We start from the raw sequence: 14,347 nt of genomic DNA, 5'->3' as shown, positions 1-14,347 counted from the left end.
TATACTATAAATAAGTGTCATTTTCAGTCTATTTAGAGACACATTTGTCAAACTTTTGTGCTTTTTTGTTGATTTCACTATTTAAAATGGCCCCCAGGCATAGAGCTGAGATGCTGTTTAGTGTCCCAAGAGCAAGAAAGCGGTCTTATGTCTCACAGAGAAAATATCTGTGTTAGGTCAGCTTTGTTCGGACAAGTGCTACAGTGCTGTTGGCCATGAGTACAATGTTAATAAATCAACAATATGTACTAAATAAGGTTCTTTAAACAGAAACACACATAAACAAGGCTATGTGTTCATCAGTTGATAAAAATGTGACAAGAGACTCACAGGAACCTAACCCTGTATTTCCCCGAGGAGCACTGGTTCAGTATTCACTAATTCAGTGTCTGTGGTGAGTTTAAAAATCTCAAATAAAGAAAACTGACTACACAGGTAAGTAATAACTAATTAATTAAAATCAATAAAAGAAATCTCACCACTCAGAAAAAAACTACAGGAGTGTCATTATCCTAGTATTATATAATTTCCCATGGTTACAAGGTTGCATAAAGAAAACCAAAAGTTATCATAACACTAAAATATTCACTGATGAACTGCCCTGTATACTTATATGACTAACAAAAGCATATGATTCTACTACAATTGTATGGATGTAGTATTTCAAGAAAGTGATGTTGGAGAACATTGGAACTTATTACTGGCAGCTGAGGATCTGCTAGAAGTCCTACCAGTTAACAACCGAACAGTACTTTACAGTAAAAACTATAAAAGAGAATGGCCTGAATACCAAAGGTTGAAAAACAGTCCGTATAAAAATCGATAAATCCCTAAAATATTTTTTCAACATGTCAAAAAATGAAATAAAAGATGATCTATAATGTTGTTATATAATTTTCCCACAAAAATTACAGCAAAGAAACCCAATCTATAGTTTATTCTTTGTTCATTCTAAAACTTGGCTATGATTTCATTTATAACAATTCCATCAAATATAAAATCTGCTTATCCTTATCACTTTGAGCTTTGTTTTTCCAGACTGGGTCCCAATCAAATGTTTTATGTTTTACAATAAACTTTTGGTTCCTGTGTTAAATGAATTCACTTTACTTGCCTATTTTCTAATCCAATTATCTCTGGATAACTAGGATTTCCTACACTGTTAATATTTTATAGTATAACCTCCCCTAATTTTCCATATGCAAACAGATGCATTAAATATACATAATACATACCTTTTTCTCACCAAACATACTGATTTGTTACCTACTTTTCACTCAAAGAATGTAATTTTTCTTAGGGGACAGCTGCCTTCCCCTCTTTTTATATCCTATCTGGTAGTCAAGCATAGTGCTAGAGCACACAGTAGGATGTCAATAAATGGTTATTGATCAACTGAAGCCCTTCCCTCTCGGTCACTCATTACTATTACCTGAAACTTGTTCCAATCTATTGGGAAGAATAAATTCCATCTCATAAACTCCATCTTGACGTTTAACCCATGACTGGATTTTTTGTTTTTAACTATTATACATATAATCATCAGCTCCCAGGATATAATTACAGATGGTCCCTGACTTAACAATGGTTCAACTTATGATTTTTCGACTTTATGGTGGTGTGAAAGTGATATGTATTCACTGGAAACCATACCATGAATTTTGATCTTTTCCCAGGCTCAAAATATTCAGTATGATACTCTCTTGTGATGCTGGACAGCAGCAGCGAGCCCTAGGCTCCTAGTCAGCCACACATCATGAGGGCAAACAATCAATCCTCGGCCAGGTGCAGTGGCTCACACCTGTAATCCCAGCACTTTGGGAGGCCAAGGTGGGCTGATCACCTAAGGTCAGGAGTTCAAGACCAGCCTGGCCAACATGGTGAAACCCCGTCTCTACAAAAATACAAAAAAAAAAAGGCGGAGCGCAGTGGCTCACGCCTGTAATCCCAGCACTCTGGGAGGCCGAGGCAGGTAGATCATGAGGTCAGGAGATCAAGACCATCCTGGCTAACACGGTGAAACCCCATCTCTCCTAAAAATATAAAAAAATTAACCTGGCATGGTGGCAGGCACCTGTAGTCCCAGCTACTTGGGAGGCTGAGGCAGGAGAATGGCATGAACCCAGGAGGCGGAGGTTGCAGTGAGCCGAGATCACGCCACTGCACTCCAGCCTGGGCGACAGAGCGAGACTCCGTCTCAAAACAAAAAAAATACAAAAAAATTAGCTGGGCCATGGTCGCAGGTGCCTGTAATCCCAGCTACTTGGGAGGCTGAGACGGGAGACTCGCTTGAACCCAGGAGGTGGAGGTTGCAGTGAGCCAAGATCGCACCACTCACTGACTCCATCTCAAAGAAAACAAAACAAAACAAGAAAAAAACCAATACTCTACTGTGTACTGTGTGGCCAGATGACTTTGCCTAATGTAAACTTTCTGAGCACATTTAATAGCTAGGCTAAACTATGGTATTCAGTAGGCTAGGTGTATTAAATGTTCAACTTACATTATCCTCAACTTACAATGGGTTTATTGAGATGTAACCCCACTGTAAGTCAAAGAGTATCTGTACTTTTACTATTCAACGTAAGAAAACAGCACACTTGGCCAGGCACAGTGGCTCATGCCTGTAATCCCAGTACTTTGGGAGGTCTAGGCGGGCAGGTCACCTGAGGTCAGGAGTTCGAGACCAGCCTGGCCAACACGGTGAAACCTCGCCTCTACTAAAAATACAAAAATTAGTAGGGTGTGGTGGCACACACCTATAATCTCAGCTACTCCGGAGGGTGAGGCAGGAGAATCCCCTGAACCTGGGAGGCGGAGGTTGCAGTGAGCCGAGATCGTGCCATTGCACTCCAGCCTGGGCAACAGAGAAAGACTCTGTCTCAAAAAAAAAAAAAAAAAAAAAAAAAAAGAAAGAAAACAGCACACTGACCATGAAAGCCAAAGCCAATAATAATAATAATGTAGCATTAAAACACTTCCTTCCATTATTTTAATACTGAAAACATCAACAGACTTATCCTTCAGTTTTAAAAAAATTAGTACATTCTCTTTCAAGTAGAAGTTAAAAGTTTCCTTTTTTAAAGTTGCTTTGAAAGCATTATTAAAAGATACAAAGATGCAAACTATCTTTCACAAACTAAGCCAATGCTACAGATATGAAGACTGTACAGAATGAAAACTGTACAGGTCCAGATTCTTTATCAGCTTCTTCATCACCTATTCTCATGCTTTGTCTTAGATCCAGACCAGGGTTAAGAACTTGTTAAGGGCTGAAGTACTTGTTGATTCACTGACAGTATGCCTTGTAGGTCAATTTCTCTTTTTTTTTTCTTGAGATGGAGTCTCGCTCTGTCGCCCAGGCTGGAGCGCAGTGGCGCGATCTCGGCTCACTGCAAGCTCCGCCTCCCGAGTTCACGCCATTCTCCTGCCTCAGCCTCCTGAGTAGTTGGGACTACAGGCGCCCGCCACCACGCCCGGCTAATTTTTTATATTTTTTAGTAGAGACGGGGTTTCACCATGTTAGCCAGGATGGTCTCGATCTCCTGACCTTGTGATCCGCCCACCTCAGCCTCCCAAAGTGCTGGGATTACAGGCGTGAGCCACCGTGCCCGGCCGCCTTGTAGGTCAATTTCTATTTAATATGAACCCTATAAGTAGTAACCAGATCTAATTCAATCCTATGGTAGGCTTCAGCACATTTTTGAAGCTCTGCAAATAAATAATAATGATATCACTCACAAATGTCCTTACTGACCCTAAGAGAAGTGTGATCATCCCTATTTTAGAAAGAAAAAAAATGCCTGAACTTGCTAATGATGCCAGCTCTTCTGAATGTCCCATCATATCAGATAACTCCATTTCATATGGGATGTTGTTTTATAGGTAGAGGGAAATCATAATATAGGTCACATTTAAAACGAGATTGAATGAAGGGATTTCAAACATAAAGAATGTAGAACTATTGGCTGGGTGCGGTGGCTCACATCTGTAATCCCAGCACTTTGGGAGGCCAAGGCGGGCGGATCACAAGGTGAGGAGTTCGAGACCAGCCTGACCAACATGGTGAAACCCTGTCTCTACTAAAAATACAAAACTTAGCTGGGTGTGGTGGCACATGCCTGTAATCCCAGCTACTCGGGAGGCTGAGGCAGGAGAATCGCTTGAACCTGGGAGGCGGAGGTTGCAGTGAGCCCAGATCCTCGCGCCACTGCACTTCAGCCTGGGTGAGAGCGAGACTCCATCTCAAAAAAAAAAAAAAAATTAAGAATATAGAACTATTTGTCACAAATACTGTTATTAAGAAAGATGCTGCCGAGGCACGAATATCGCTTGAGCCCAGGAATTCAGACCAGCCTGGGCAACATGGCAAGATCCCATCTCTCTGAGAAAAAAAAAAAAAAAAGAAAGATGTTGATTTTAATTTACTCAGGAAGCACTTACTGACCACTGCTGCTAGTAATGAACTAGATACTAAATGATTTTCCAAGTGGAGAACTATAAAGGAGGTGAGTGTTTGTGTGTAATGTTTTAAAGATTAATTTTAGAAGATTACCTTCCCTATCCAGGTTATCATAAATGCCTATAAGACAATGTTCTATGTCTTATATTCTAAAGCAGGGGGCAGGGAGGACACCTGGTAAAATAATGAATTGGGTTTCCATTTTAGAAATTTATTTAAAATAGGCTTAAATATTTTTGAGATTCACATTCTACTGTAAGAATCAGGGTCACCAGATAAGCTTAGTCCCCACCTATTTTTATTTTAAATGCTCATTTACTTCATCTATTCCTCCAGCTCCTTCCCTCATTCTCTCTCTCCTTCAGTCAAACTTCTTGAAAGAGTTGTCTGTACTCACCATCCCCATTTCCTCACCTTCCATCACTCCTCAAATCAATGCAATATGGCTTCAGTCACTATGAAACTGCTCCTGCCAAGGTCAACAATAATCTACATGTCAGTAGGTGCAAAAGATAACTCGCAGTCTTTATCTTGCTTGACGTCTCAGCAGTACTTCACACAGCTGACGACTCCCTCCTCCTAGAGTCTGTTCCTTGACGTTCATGGCAACGCACTATCCACTATCTTGATTTTCCACCTATCACACTGGTGCCAAAGTAACTGTGGTTTTGCCATTAAAAGTAATAGCAAAAACTGCAATTACTTTTGCACCAACCTAATATGAATACCTATTTGGCCATTCTTTCATTGGTTCCCTTAGATACTGCTATTTGTGGAGCTAGGCTTAATGTCCTTTAACCTCAGTTCTTACTCTACACACATTCCTTGAGAGGCTTCATCTATTTCTGTGTCTTCAAATACCATTTTTATGCTGATGACTTATAAATCTATGTCTCCCAGATCTTACATCTAGACTCCAGAGCTATATCTAACTTCCAAGTGGACATCTCCATTTGGAATCTATGTCTCAAGAACCCCAAACTCAGTATGTCTGAAACCTAACTCATGATTTTCTCCTCACCCCCAGAAATGTTCTTCCTCCTCCTCCTTTAGGTTTTTCTGTTTTAGTAAATTTGACCACCATCCACCCTACGGCCCAGCCCAGAAACCTAAGAATCATTCTTGATGCCTCCCTCTCCATAACTACTCAACCTCAAAGTGAATTCTAGCAGCTAAATATTTCTCCACTCTTCCCACTTCTCTCCATCTCAACTAATACCATCAAAGTCTAAACCACTATTATCTCTTGCCTGGATTACTTCAATAACTATTCTCTCTAAATCACTCTTGCTCCTTTTAATTCTGCTCTCCACACTGCAAGCAGAGTGAGCTTTCAAAAATGCCAATCTGTCACATTCACCTATGTAAAATCCTTCAATGGCTTCCAACTGCCCTTAGAATGAAGTCCTTACAGGCCTTCCCTGATCTAGTTCATACCTACCATCCTCACCCTGAGCTTTCAGTGAGCCTTATTGAACTTAATTCTTTGAATTCTAACTTCTGGTTAATTTCTACTCTTTTTCTTTTTTTTTAACTGAGATGGAGTCCCACTCTGTCGCCCAGGCTAGAGAGCAGTGGGGCAATCTTGGCTCACTGCAACCTCTGCCTCCTGGGTTCAAGTGATCCTCCCACCTCAGCCTCCCAAGTAGCTGAGATTAAAAGCGTGCACCACCACACCCAGCTAATTTTTTGTATTTGTAGTAGAGACAGAATTTCACCATGTTGGCCAGGCTGGTCTTGAACTCCTGACTTCAAGTGATCCGCCTGCCTTGGCCTCCCAAAGTGCTGAGATTACAGGCATCAGCCACTGCACCTGGCCTACTCATTTTTTTTTTTTTTAGGTCTCACTCTGTTGCCCAGGCTAGAGTGCAGTGGCACGAGAACTCCTGGGCTTAAACAATCCTCCCACCTCAGCCACCCGCAAGTAGCCGGCACTACAGGCATGCAACACCATGCCTGGCTAGGTTTTTTTTTTTTTTGAGTCGGAGTCTCACTCTGTCGCCCAGGCTGGAGTGCAGTGGCGCGATCTCGGCTCACTGCAAGCTCCGCCTCCCGGGTTCACACCATTCTCCTGCCTCAGCTTCCTGAGAAGTTGGGACTACAGGCGCCCACCACCACGCCCGGCTAATTTTTTGTATTTTTAGTAGAGATGGGGTTTCACCATGTTAGCCAGGATGGTCTTGATCTTCTGACCTCGTGATCTGCCCGCCTAGGCCTCCCAAAGTGCTGGGATTACAGGCGTGAGCCACTGCGCCCGGCCACCTGGCTAGTTTTTTAAACTTTTTGTGGGCGGGGGGCGGGGGGGGGGGTGTCTCACTTTGTTGCCCAGGCTGGCCTTGAACTCCCGGCCTCTAATGAGCCCAAAGAACTGGGATTACAGGTGTGAGCACCCAGTCCTCCTACTTATTCTTTAGAGTTCATTTAAATATCACTTTACAGGCCCGGCGTGGCAGCTTACGCCTGTAATCCCAGCACTTTGGGAGGCCGTAGCAGGTGGATCACGAGGTCAGGAGTTCAAGACCAGCCTGGCCAAGATGGTGAAACCTCTTCTGTACTAAAAATACAAAAAAAAATGGCCGGGCACTCTGACTCACACCTGTAACCCCAGCACTTTGGGAGGCTGAGACAGGCAGATCACCTGGGGTCAGGAGTTCGAGACCAGCCTAGCCAACATGGTGAAACCTCGTCTCTACTAAAAATACAAAAATTAGCCAAGCGTGGTGGCAGGCGCCTGTAATCCCAGCTACTCCTGGGAGTAGCTGAGGCAGGCTGAGGCAGGAGAATTGTTTGAACCCGGGAGGCAGAGGTTGCAGTGAGCCGAGATCGTGCCATTGCACCCCAGCCTGGGCAACAAGAGTGAGACTTCGTCTCCAAAAAAAAAAAAAAAAAAAAAAAAAAAAAGATAAAAATACAAAAAAATTAGCCGGGCGTGGTGGCAGGCACCTGTAATCCCAGTTACTAGGGAGGCTGAGGCAGAAAATTGCTTAAACCCGGAAGGCGGAGGTTGCAGTGAGCCGAGATCGCGCCACTGCACTCCAGCCTGGGCAACAGAGCGAGACTCCATCTCAAAAAAATAAAAATAAATAAAATAAAATAAAAACAAATAAAAAATAAAAAATATCACTTTACAAAGGGAATCCTCTTTAATTAGGTTAGCGCTCCCAGCTATATTCAATTATTTAAAATATATTTGTTCTCCACCTCCTATGCGCTAGATCCTATGCAAGGTACTGTGAATACAGTGGTAACTTAAAAAAAAAACAAAAAACAAAAAACTTGCCTTTGCCAGTTCCTTGGGGAATAATCTAGTGATATTTTATAATCCCATAGCACTCTGTACGTCTCCTCTTAATTACTTACTAAATGTCTTCTCCCTTCCCCCACAACTGAAACAAGAAGTCAATGAGGGCAGGTCCCATGTCTATCTTGTTAACCATTTCATCTCCAGTATTAAGCACAGTACTCATAGTACCTGGCACATAGTTGCTAGTCCGTAAGTATTTAAACATTAAATAAATGATACCTCTAAAAACTAATCAAAGCCAACAGCTTTAACTAAATAAATCAGTCCTTTAAACACATAGAAAAATTAATTATTCAAAAAGACACATTCCGACCGGGCGCAGTGGCTCACGTCTATAATCCCAGCACTTTGGGAGGCCGAAGCAGGTGGATCACTTGAGGTCAGGAGTTCGAGACCAGCCTGACCAACATGGTGAAACCCCATCTCTATTAAAAATACAAAAACTAGCCAGGCATGGTAGCATGCACCTGTAATCCCATATACTTGGGAGGCTAGGGCAGAATTGTTTGAACCCAGGAAGTGGAAGTTGCAGTGAGCCGAGATTTCACCACTGCACTCCAGCCTGAGCGACAGAGTGAGACTCTCTCTCAGAAACAAACAAACAAAAAAACACATTCCATTAAATCATCAACACTTTACCCGAAAAACTAGAAAACACCTGGAAAAATATCAAGTATTTATCTTGTCCTTCCTATACCAACTGTATTTCCAATCAAATATCTGTGGCAAAAGTTTTTCTTTACATAACTCCATATAGTAACTGTGGAAGAAATGGCAGAAAAAAAAAATCACCAGGTTGCAACCTCTGTCTAATGAAATAATTTACTTAGGCAAGGTCTTTCTTCAATTGATGAACCAGTAGACTGAAACATTAGATGCAAGATTGATAGAAAGCTTTACAGTAGAGGGACCAATGGCATTACTAACAGTGGGACAACCAGGCATCGGGTGTCCCATGAGGAATGCAACACTTGCCAAAAGAAAGCTGAACTTAAATGAAGGTTCCAGAGTTAACTTCTAATTCAAAAAAAAAAAAAATGTGGAAGACATAGGAACAAGTCAAATGTGACACCATGAAAAAGCAGACAATGCAGAATGTCAGACATTCTACAGGAAAACTGACAACAGATTTTTCATCAAGTTCAAAGACATGAGGTAGAAAAAGAAAATAGGAGGGACTGACCTAGGTCAAGGGTTCTCAACAGAGGGTAATTTTGTCTCCAGGGGATACTTGGCAATGTGTGGAAACATTTTTGGTTGTCGGACTGGGGGCTGCCACTGGCATCTAATGGGTAGAGGTCAGGGACGCTGTTAAACATCCTACAATGCATAGGACAAGCCCCTCCACAACAAAGAATCATCCTGCCCAAAATGTCCATAGTGCCGAAGCTGAGAAACCCTGATCTATACTAAGAATCTTTTCAGTATTCTGTTTGGACTCTGACTTGAACACACCAAAAAAACATTGTTTGGGAACAGACTGTGAGGACAGAAAACAACAACACTGTTGAGTCAATTTGGGGTATTTTAACATGGATGGTATCAAAGAATTATTTTTAGTTCATTAGTATGATGAAACAATAAAGGAAATCTGAACGGATCAGGTATTAGATGATACCAAGAAACTGTTAACTTTGTTAGGTGTTAACAATGTGTTTATCTAAGAAAGGGTCTTGGCCGGGCACGGTGGCTCACGCCTGTAATCCCAGCACTTTGGGAGGCCAAGGCAGCTGGATCATGAGGTCAGGAGTTCAAGACCAGCCTGACCAACATGGTGAAACCCCGTCTCTACTAAAAATACAAAAATTAGCCAGGCGTGGTGGCATGCACTTGTAATCCCAGCTACTCAGGAGGCTGAGGCAGGAGAATCGCTTGAACCCGGGAGGCAGAGGTTGCAATGAGCCAAGATCGCGCCACTGCACTCCAGCCTGGGCAACAGTGTGAGACTCCATCTCAAAAAAAAAAAAAAAAAAGAAAAGGTCTTGGTTTTGTTTTGTTTTGTTTTATAGAGGTACTTGACTAAGAATGTAGGGATGAAATGACATAAGATCTAAGATTTGCTTTAAAATATTTCAGCAGAGGCCAGGTGTGGTGGTTCATGCCCATAATCCCAGCACTTTGAGAGGTCAAGGCAGTGTACTGTTTGAGCTCAGGAGTTCAAGACCAGCCTGGGCAACATAGCAAAACCCCGTCTCTACCAAAAAAAAAAAAAAAAAAAAATAGCCAGGCATGGTGGCATGCACCTGTAGTCCCAGCTACTTGGGATGGCTTGAGCCTGGGAGGCAGAGGTTGCAGTGAACTGAGACTATGCCACTACACTCCACCCTGGGTGACTGACAGAGCAAGACCCTGTCTCAATATATATATATGCAACAATAATAAAAAAGGCCTAGGTGAAGTAAACATGGCAAAATCTTGATAGCTGTTGAATCTCAATGATGGGTATGTATGGGGAATCATACTTTTTTCTCTATTTTGTGTATTTTAAAAATATTTCACGATAAGAAATTTTGAATGACACATTCCAAAAACAAAATATGAATCAAAGAATAATAAATATGTAGAAGGATTGCCAGAGACTGGTACTGGCATGAAGAAATATTTATCATCTAATAAACCAACATATCCTAAGTCTAGAACATGACAACTCTCGTATTTTATTCAACAAATCTGTGGAGAGCCTACAATTTGCAAGGCACTGTCCTAGGTGCTACGGTAATAAGAAGATAAGTAAGATAATTCCTGTCTGCAAGGGACTTACAATCTGAAGAACAGAACCAAACCAGATGGGTGAGCACAAGCAGGGCTTCATGGAAACCTTGATATTTGAGATATGCCTTGAAAGCAATACAACTCTAAGGGGAAACAGAGGGTTGAGGAGGTTAGGATGAATTCTAAAAAGAAGAAAGAAAGCCACAGGCTTCAAGGCTCTTCTTGATCTGGTCTATGTGCACCACAAGTCTCATTTTCCACCACTCTGCCTCTCACCAAAGAATTGCAGGCACTGAATATTCAAGACACTGAGTTCATTACAGAAAAGGGTACAAAGGCAGAAAAGTAAAAGCACTGTTCATGGTAACTATACATATTAAGGCCTGATCTGACACACACACTCCTCCCAAAAAAAGCCAAAAATACAATTATTTTGTCTCTCTGTAAGGTCAGAAAAACAGTCTAGTAGAGTGAGAATATAAATGTCCTATTTTGGCTCAGACTAACTGAGAATGTTTGACAACAAAAGCACTAAAGACTTCAGAGTGGGGTGGGAAAGAGGACAGAAAGTCTGTCTCTATAATAGAGCAATCTGGGGAAAATAAACTGGTGAGATGGTACAAATTTGATGTAAGCCAACAGAATCATTATTCTACTACTTTATTTCAGCATCCCAAGTGTTTTCTCCAGAAGATGTGCCAAGCATCATTTCTTAAAACAACTTGCTTCTGTTCTTAATTTCTAATGCCAAACCACCGTAAAATTATAATACTGCATCCCTATCTTTTGGAAATCTTTTATAGGTAAATCTGAGCGTTTATATTACAAGATTCTCTTTTTTCCTTAGTGAATCTAAGGTAAATTAGTAATCGCTGAAAAAGTGTCTACTTTAGGAAATCATAACAATTGATTTATTCTGCTTTAGTTTGACCTTCCCTCTCTCAAGGGGGAACTCGTTTATTACTGTTACCCTGTCAATTTGTCTGTTCTGCGGGATAAGAATGGCTGACTCTCTCATGAAAAGATATCACCAAACTTTTTTTACGTTGGCCAAATTGCAAGGCTGTTTCTTTGGAGTGAATGGTAATGACAATGAAACGCAGAAAATTGCTCATTATCTTAAAACAATCTTTAAATAATATGAGAAAAGGATGTCTGGGTCAATTCCTAAAATGGACCAATCGATCCCCAAAAGGGTCTCGGGACTCATCTATGTATTGTATATGTACCTATAAGCATAATTAGGATGCTCCTGGTAAGACAAGATTTCCATCCTTTTTCTGAAACCTCTTAATTCAGGAAGCTGACAACTATCCCTGGCCCCTAAGTAATATTTTTAAAAGAAGCTAACTAATCATAAAGTTTACAAACATTCAAGTGTCAGCCCTTGGCGAGGCCTCTTTTTCATGCTTTCTCTCAAATGGAAACTTTCGTTTAAAATACAATTTTAAAACAAGACCCTCTGCAACAAAATCTATTTGCAACAGCAACAAAATCTAAGAGGATGGTCAAAGAAACCAAGGAATGTATCTGAGAGGTAACTTTTGAGCCACCCCACCACTGTATGTAATCCATACACATCTACAAACGCTGTTTTTTTGGTAATTCACATCTAGCTAATTAAAAAGCTGAGCTGTCAGCCCTCTGACTCTTACGGAATCCTTTGGAGTGTTAGCTAGTCATTGTGTGTTGGAATTAGACTAACCACTGGTTAAAGCCCTGAGGCCTGCTCATTCAGGGCCCTCTAGGTGAAAGATGAGGTTCAGGCAGATGCTTTCTTACCTGTGGAGTCATCGTAGAGGGATCTGGCTCAGGGGCGGCTTGCTGCTGTTCAGTACTCTTGTTTTTGGCCCCACTCTCCAAAGGCTCTTGCTGGACAGTTGTCTTATTTCCAGGGGGGGCGGACGGTGGTGGTGGAGCTAGTAGTTGGGATTTAGAATGGCCCTGGGAGGGGCGGGAAGGAGATGCCTGAGAAGAGGGCAAGTAGGACTGGGAATGGCTCAAATAGGATTGCGAGGAAGAGGAGGAGGATGAGTAAGAAGGGGTGGGCGCCAGGTAGGATTGGGAAGGTGGGGACTGCGAAGGGGACGGCTGAGCAGGAGGCAGGTAGGGCTGAGATGAGGTCGGGGGGTAGTAAGAGGGTGGCGGCTGAGGTGGGGGCATGTAAGACTGAGATGGGGGCATATAGGACCCAGGCGGCACAGGGGGAGATTCAGGGGGGGATTCCAGCTCCATTGGAACCAAACCAGGAGGCCCGTCTCGTTGGTGGTGGAGCATCTGGTGTTTGTACTGCTGCTGCTTCTGATAGCTGAGGGCCGGCCCGGGTGGCGGGGGCATCGGTGGCGGTGGCGGCTGCCAGTCTCCGTAGCCGCCCCCCGGCATCACTGGCGGGGGCGGCAGAGGGGGCGGAGGAAGGTGGTGGGGCTGAAGCACGCACTGCATTTGCTTCTGGTGCATCTGCTGCAGCTGCTGGAGCTGCGCCAAGTGCTGTTCGCGGAAGCTCATGAAGCCCGAGGAGGAGGGGGCCGCGGGAGTCGTCGAGCTCGAGTACCCGGGCCCCGGCGAGGCCTCAGGAAGCGCCACTGGCGGCGGCGGTGGGACCGGTGGCGGCGGATAGTGGCTGCTCCCGCCATACCGGCCCCAATTCGGGTACATATCGAAAAAGAAGGCGCAGGGCTCGTCCTGGCGCCGTTACTCGTCGCAACCGACCTCCAGGAGCCGCGGCGGCGACGGCGACAGCCGGAACTCGCGGCGCCTACAGGCCCCGGAGCGTGTAAACGGAGCGCGCCAGTGCGCCGGCGCTCCCGAGCTGGGCCCGCGACCGGGAAGGCGGGGACGCGACTTGGGCGACTACGTCTGCGCAGTAACCACCGAGAGGAGAACAAAGGCGAGATAGAGCGGTCCTTTACTTGGCGACTCGTGGTTGCCATCTTCCTTTGGGTTCAGATAATGTAGGCTCCAGTAGAATGTTCTCATAGAACTGAAAAACCATAGAGTCTCACAGCCGAAAGAGGTGGTAGAGATCCTATCGCTCCACGGGTTCATTTTTGAATGAAAAAAAAAAAAGGTTCCATTCACAATAGCAACAATCGCAACAACAACAAAAAAACATAAAGCAACTAGGAAAAACTCTAACAAGAAAGATGTAGGACTTATATGTAGAAAGCTACAGAGTCATAAAGAAGCATATCCAAGTAGGATGAAATTAGACTTCAAATAATGGAGAGGCTTACCATGATCCTGGGTGAAAAGAGGAAAAATTGTAAAGATGTCAGTTTCTCCCAAATTAAATGAATAGACCTAACTCAATTCTCCCCAGAAATTCAACTGGGAACAAAGCTGTGAAGAATGGAAAGGTGTTTTCAAGGCAGAGTGTAAGATTACACCAATTCCTGCAGACATATAGTGAGTAACATCTGCAGGAATTGTAGAAGGGGAGAAATGGAATTTTTTAGACTGTCTCAACACATATAAATCGGTGTTGCAGAATCTCAGAGCAAAAGCAAAGAGAGCAAAAACCAGATACAAAGATGGTCTAAAGACAACCTGGAAGATAATCTTCCAAAAGCTCTCAACGTAATACCAGACATAAACTCTTACTTTAGCTTGAGTGAATCACTAAAAAGCAAAGCTAATACACTGAATTCTTTTGGGTGTGTGGGGGGGGGCGGGGGGAGGGAGAACTGTGAGAATATTGTGTCAGTGCATCACTTGAGTAACATGCAAATAATTGACCTTTCTTCCATCTTAGCAACCCAGATCTTCACCTCTCTCAGGAGGTGAATGTGAATGGAAAGTGGAGCAGCAAGGCATCCTTCAAAAGGAAGAGCTTCTGTTTTCAAATAGAAATTTAGTTATGTTTCTTTTAA

General features: G+C 43.0%; 1 protein-coding gene across 6 annotated transcripts in view, besides 1 other annotated feature; it reads right to left on the bottom strand.

The window, feature by feature from the left end:
• YLPM1 (YLP motif containing 1) overlaps nt 1–13,307 on the bottom strand; it is a 74,003-nt gene extending 60,696 nt beyond the window's left edge. For 5 of the 6 annotated variants that reach the window (NM_019589.3, NM_001411052.1, XM_047431591.1 and 2 more), the window contains exon 1: nt 12,261–13,307. In NM_019589.3, coding sequence (NP_062535.2) covers nt 12,261–13,133 — 873 coding nt within the window. In that variant the 5' untranslated portion in view covers nt 13,134–13,307. Of the gene's footprint in view, nt 1–4,876; nt 4,932–12,260 lie in introns of all 6 variants that reach the window. The other variant, XM_011536966.3, reaches the window with a different exon arrangement.
• Nucleotides 13,260–13,599: an enhancer, noted in NCBI's record as "active region_8730". NCBI's record gives its function as "activates an Ori minimal core promoter by ATAC-STARR-seq in GM12878 lymphoblastoid cells {active_cell/tissue: GM12878}" and the evidence as "EXISTENCE:reporter gene assay evidence [ECO:0000049][PMID:35858748]".

This window comes from Homo sapiens, chromosome 14, assembly GCF_000001405.40.
Source record: "Homo sapiens chromosome 14, GRCh38.p14 Primary Assembly".
Classification (NCBI taxonomy): Eukaryota; Metazoa; Chordata; class Mammalia; order Primates; family Hominidae; genus Homo; species Homo sapiens.
Note: the sequence above shows the minus strand (reverse complement) of the source record. Positions and strands in the feature narration are given on the sequence as shown.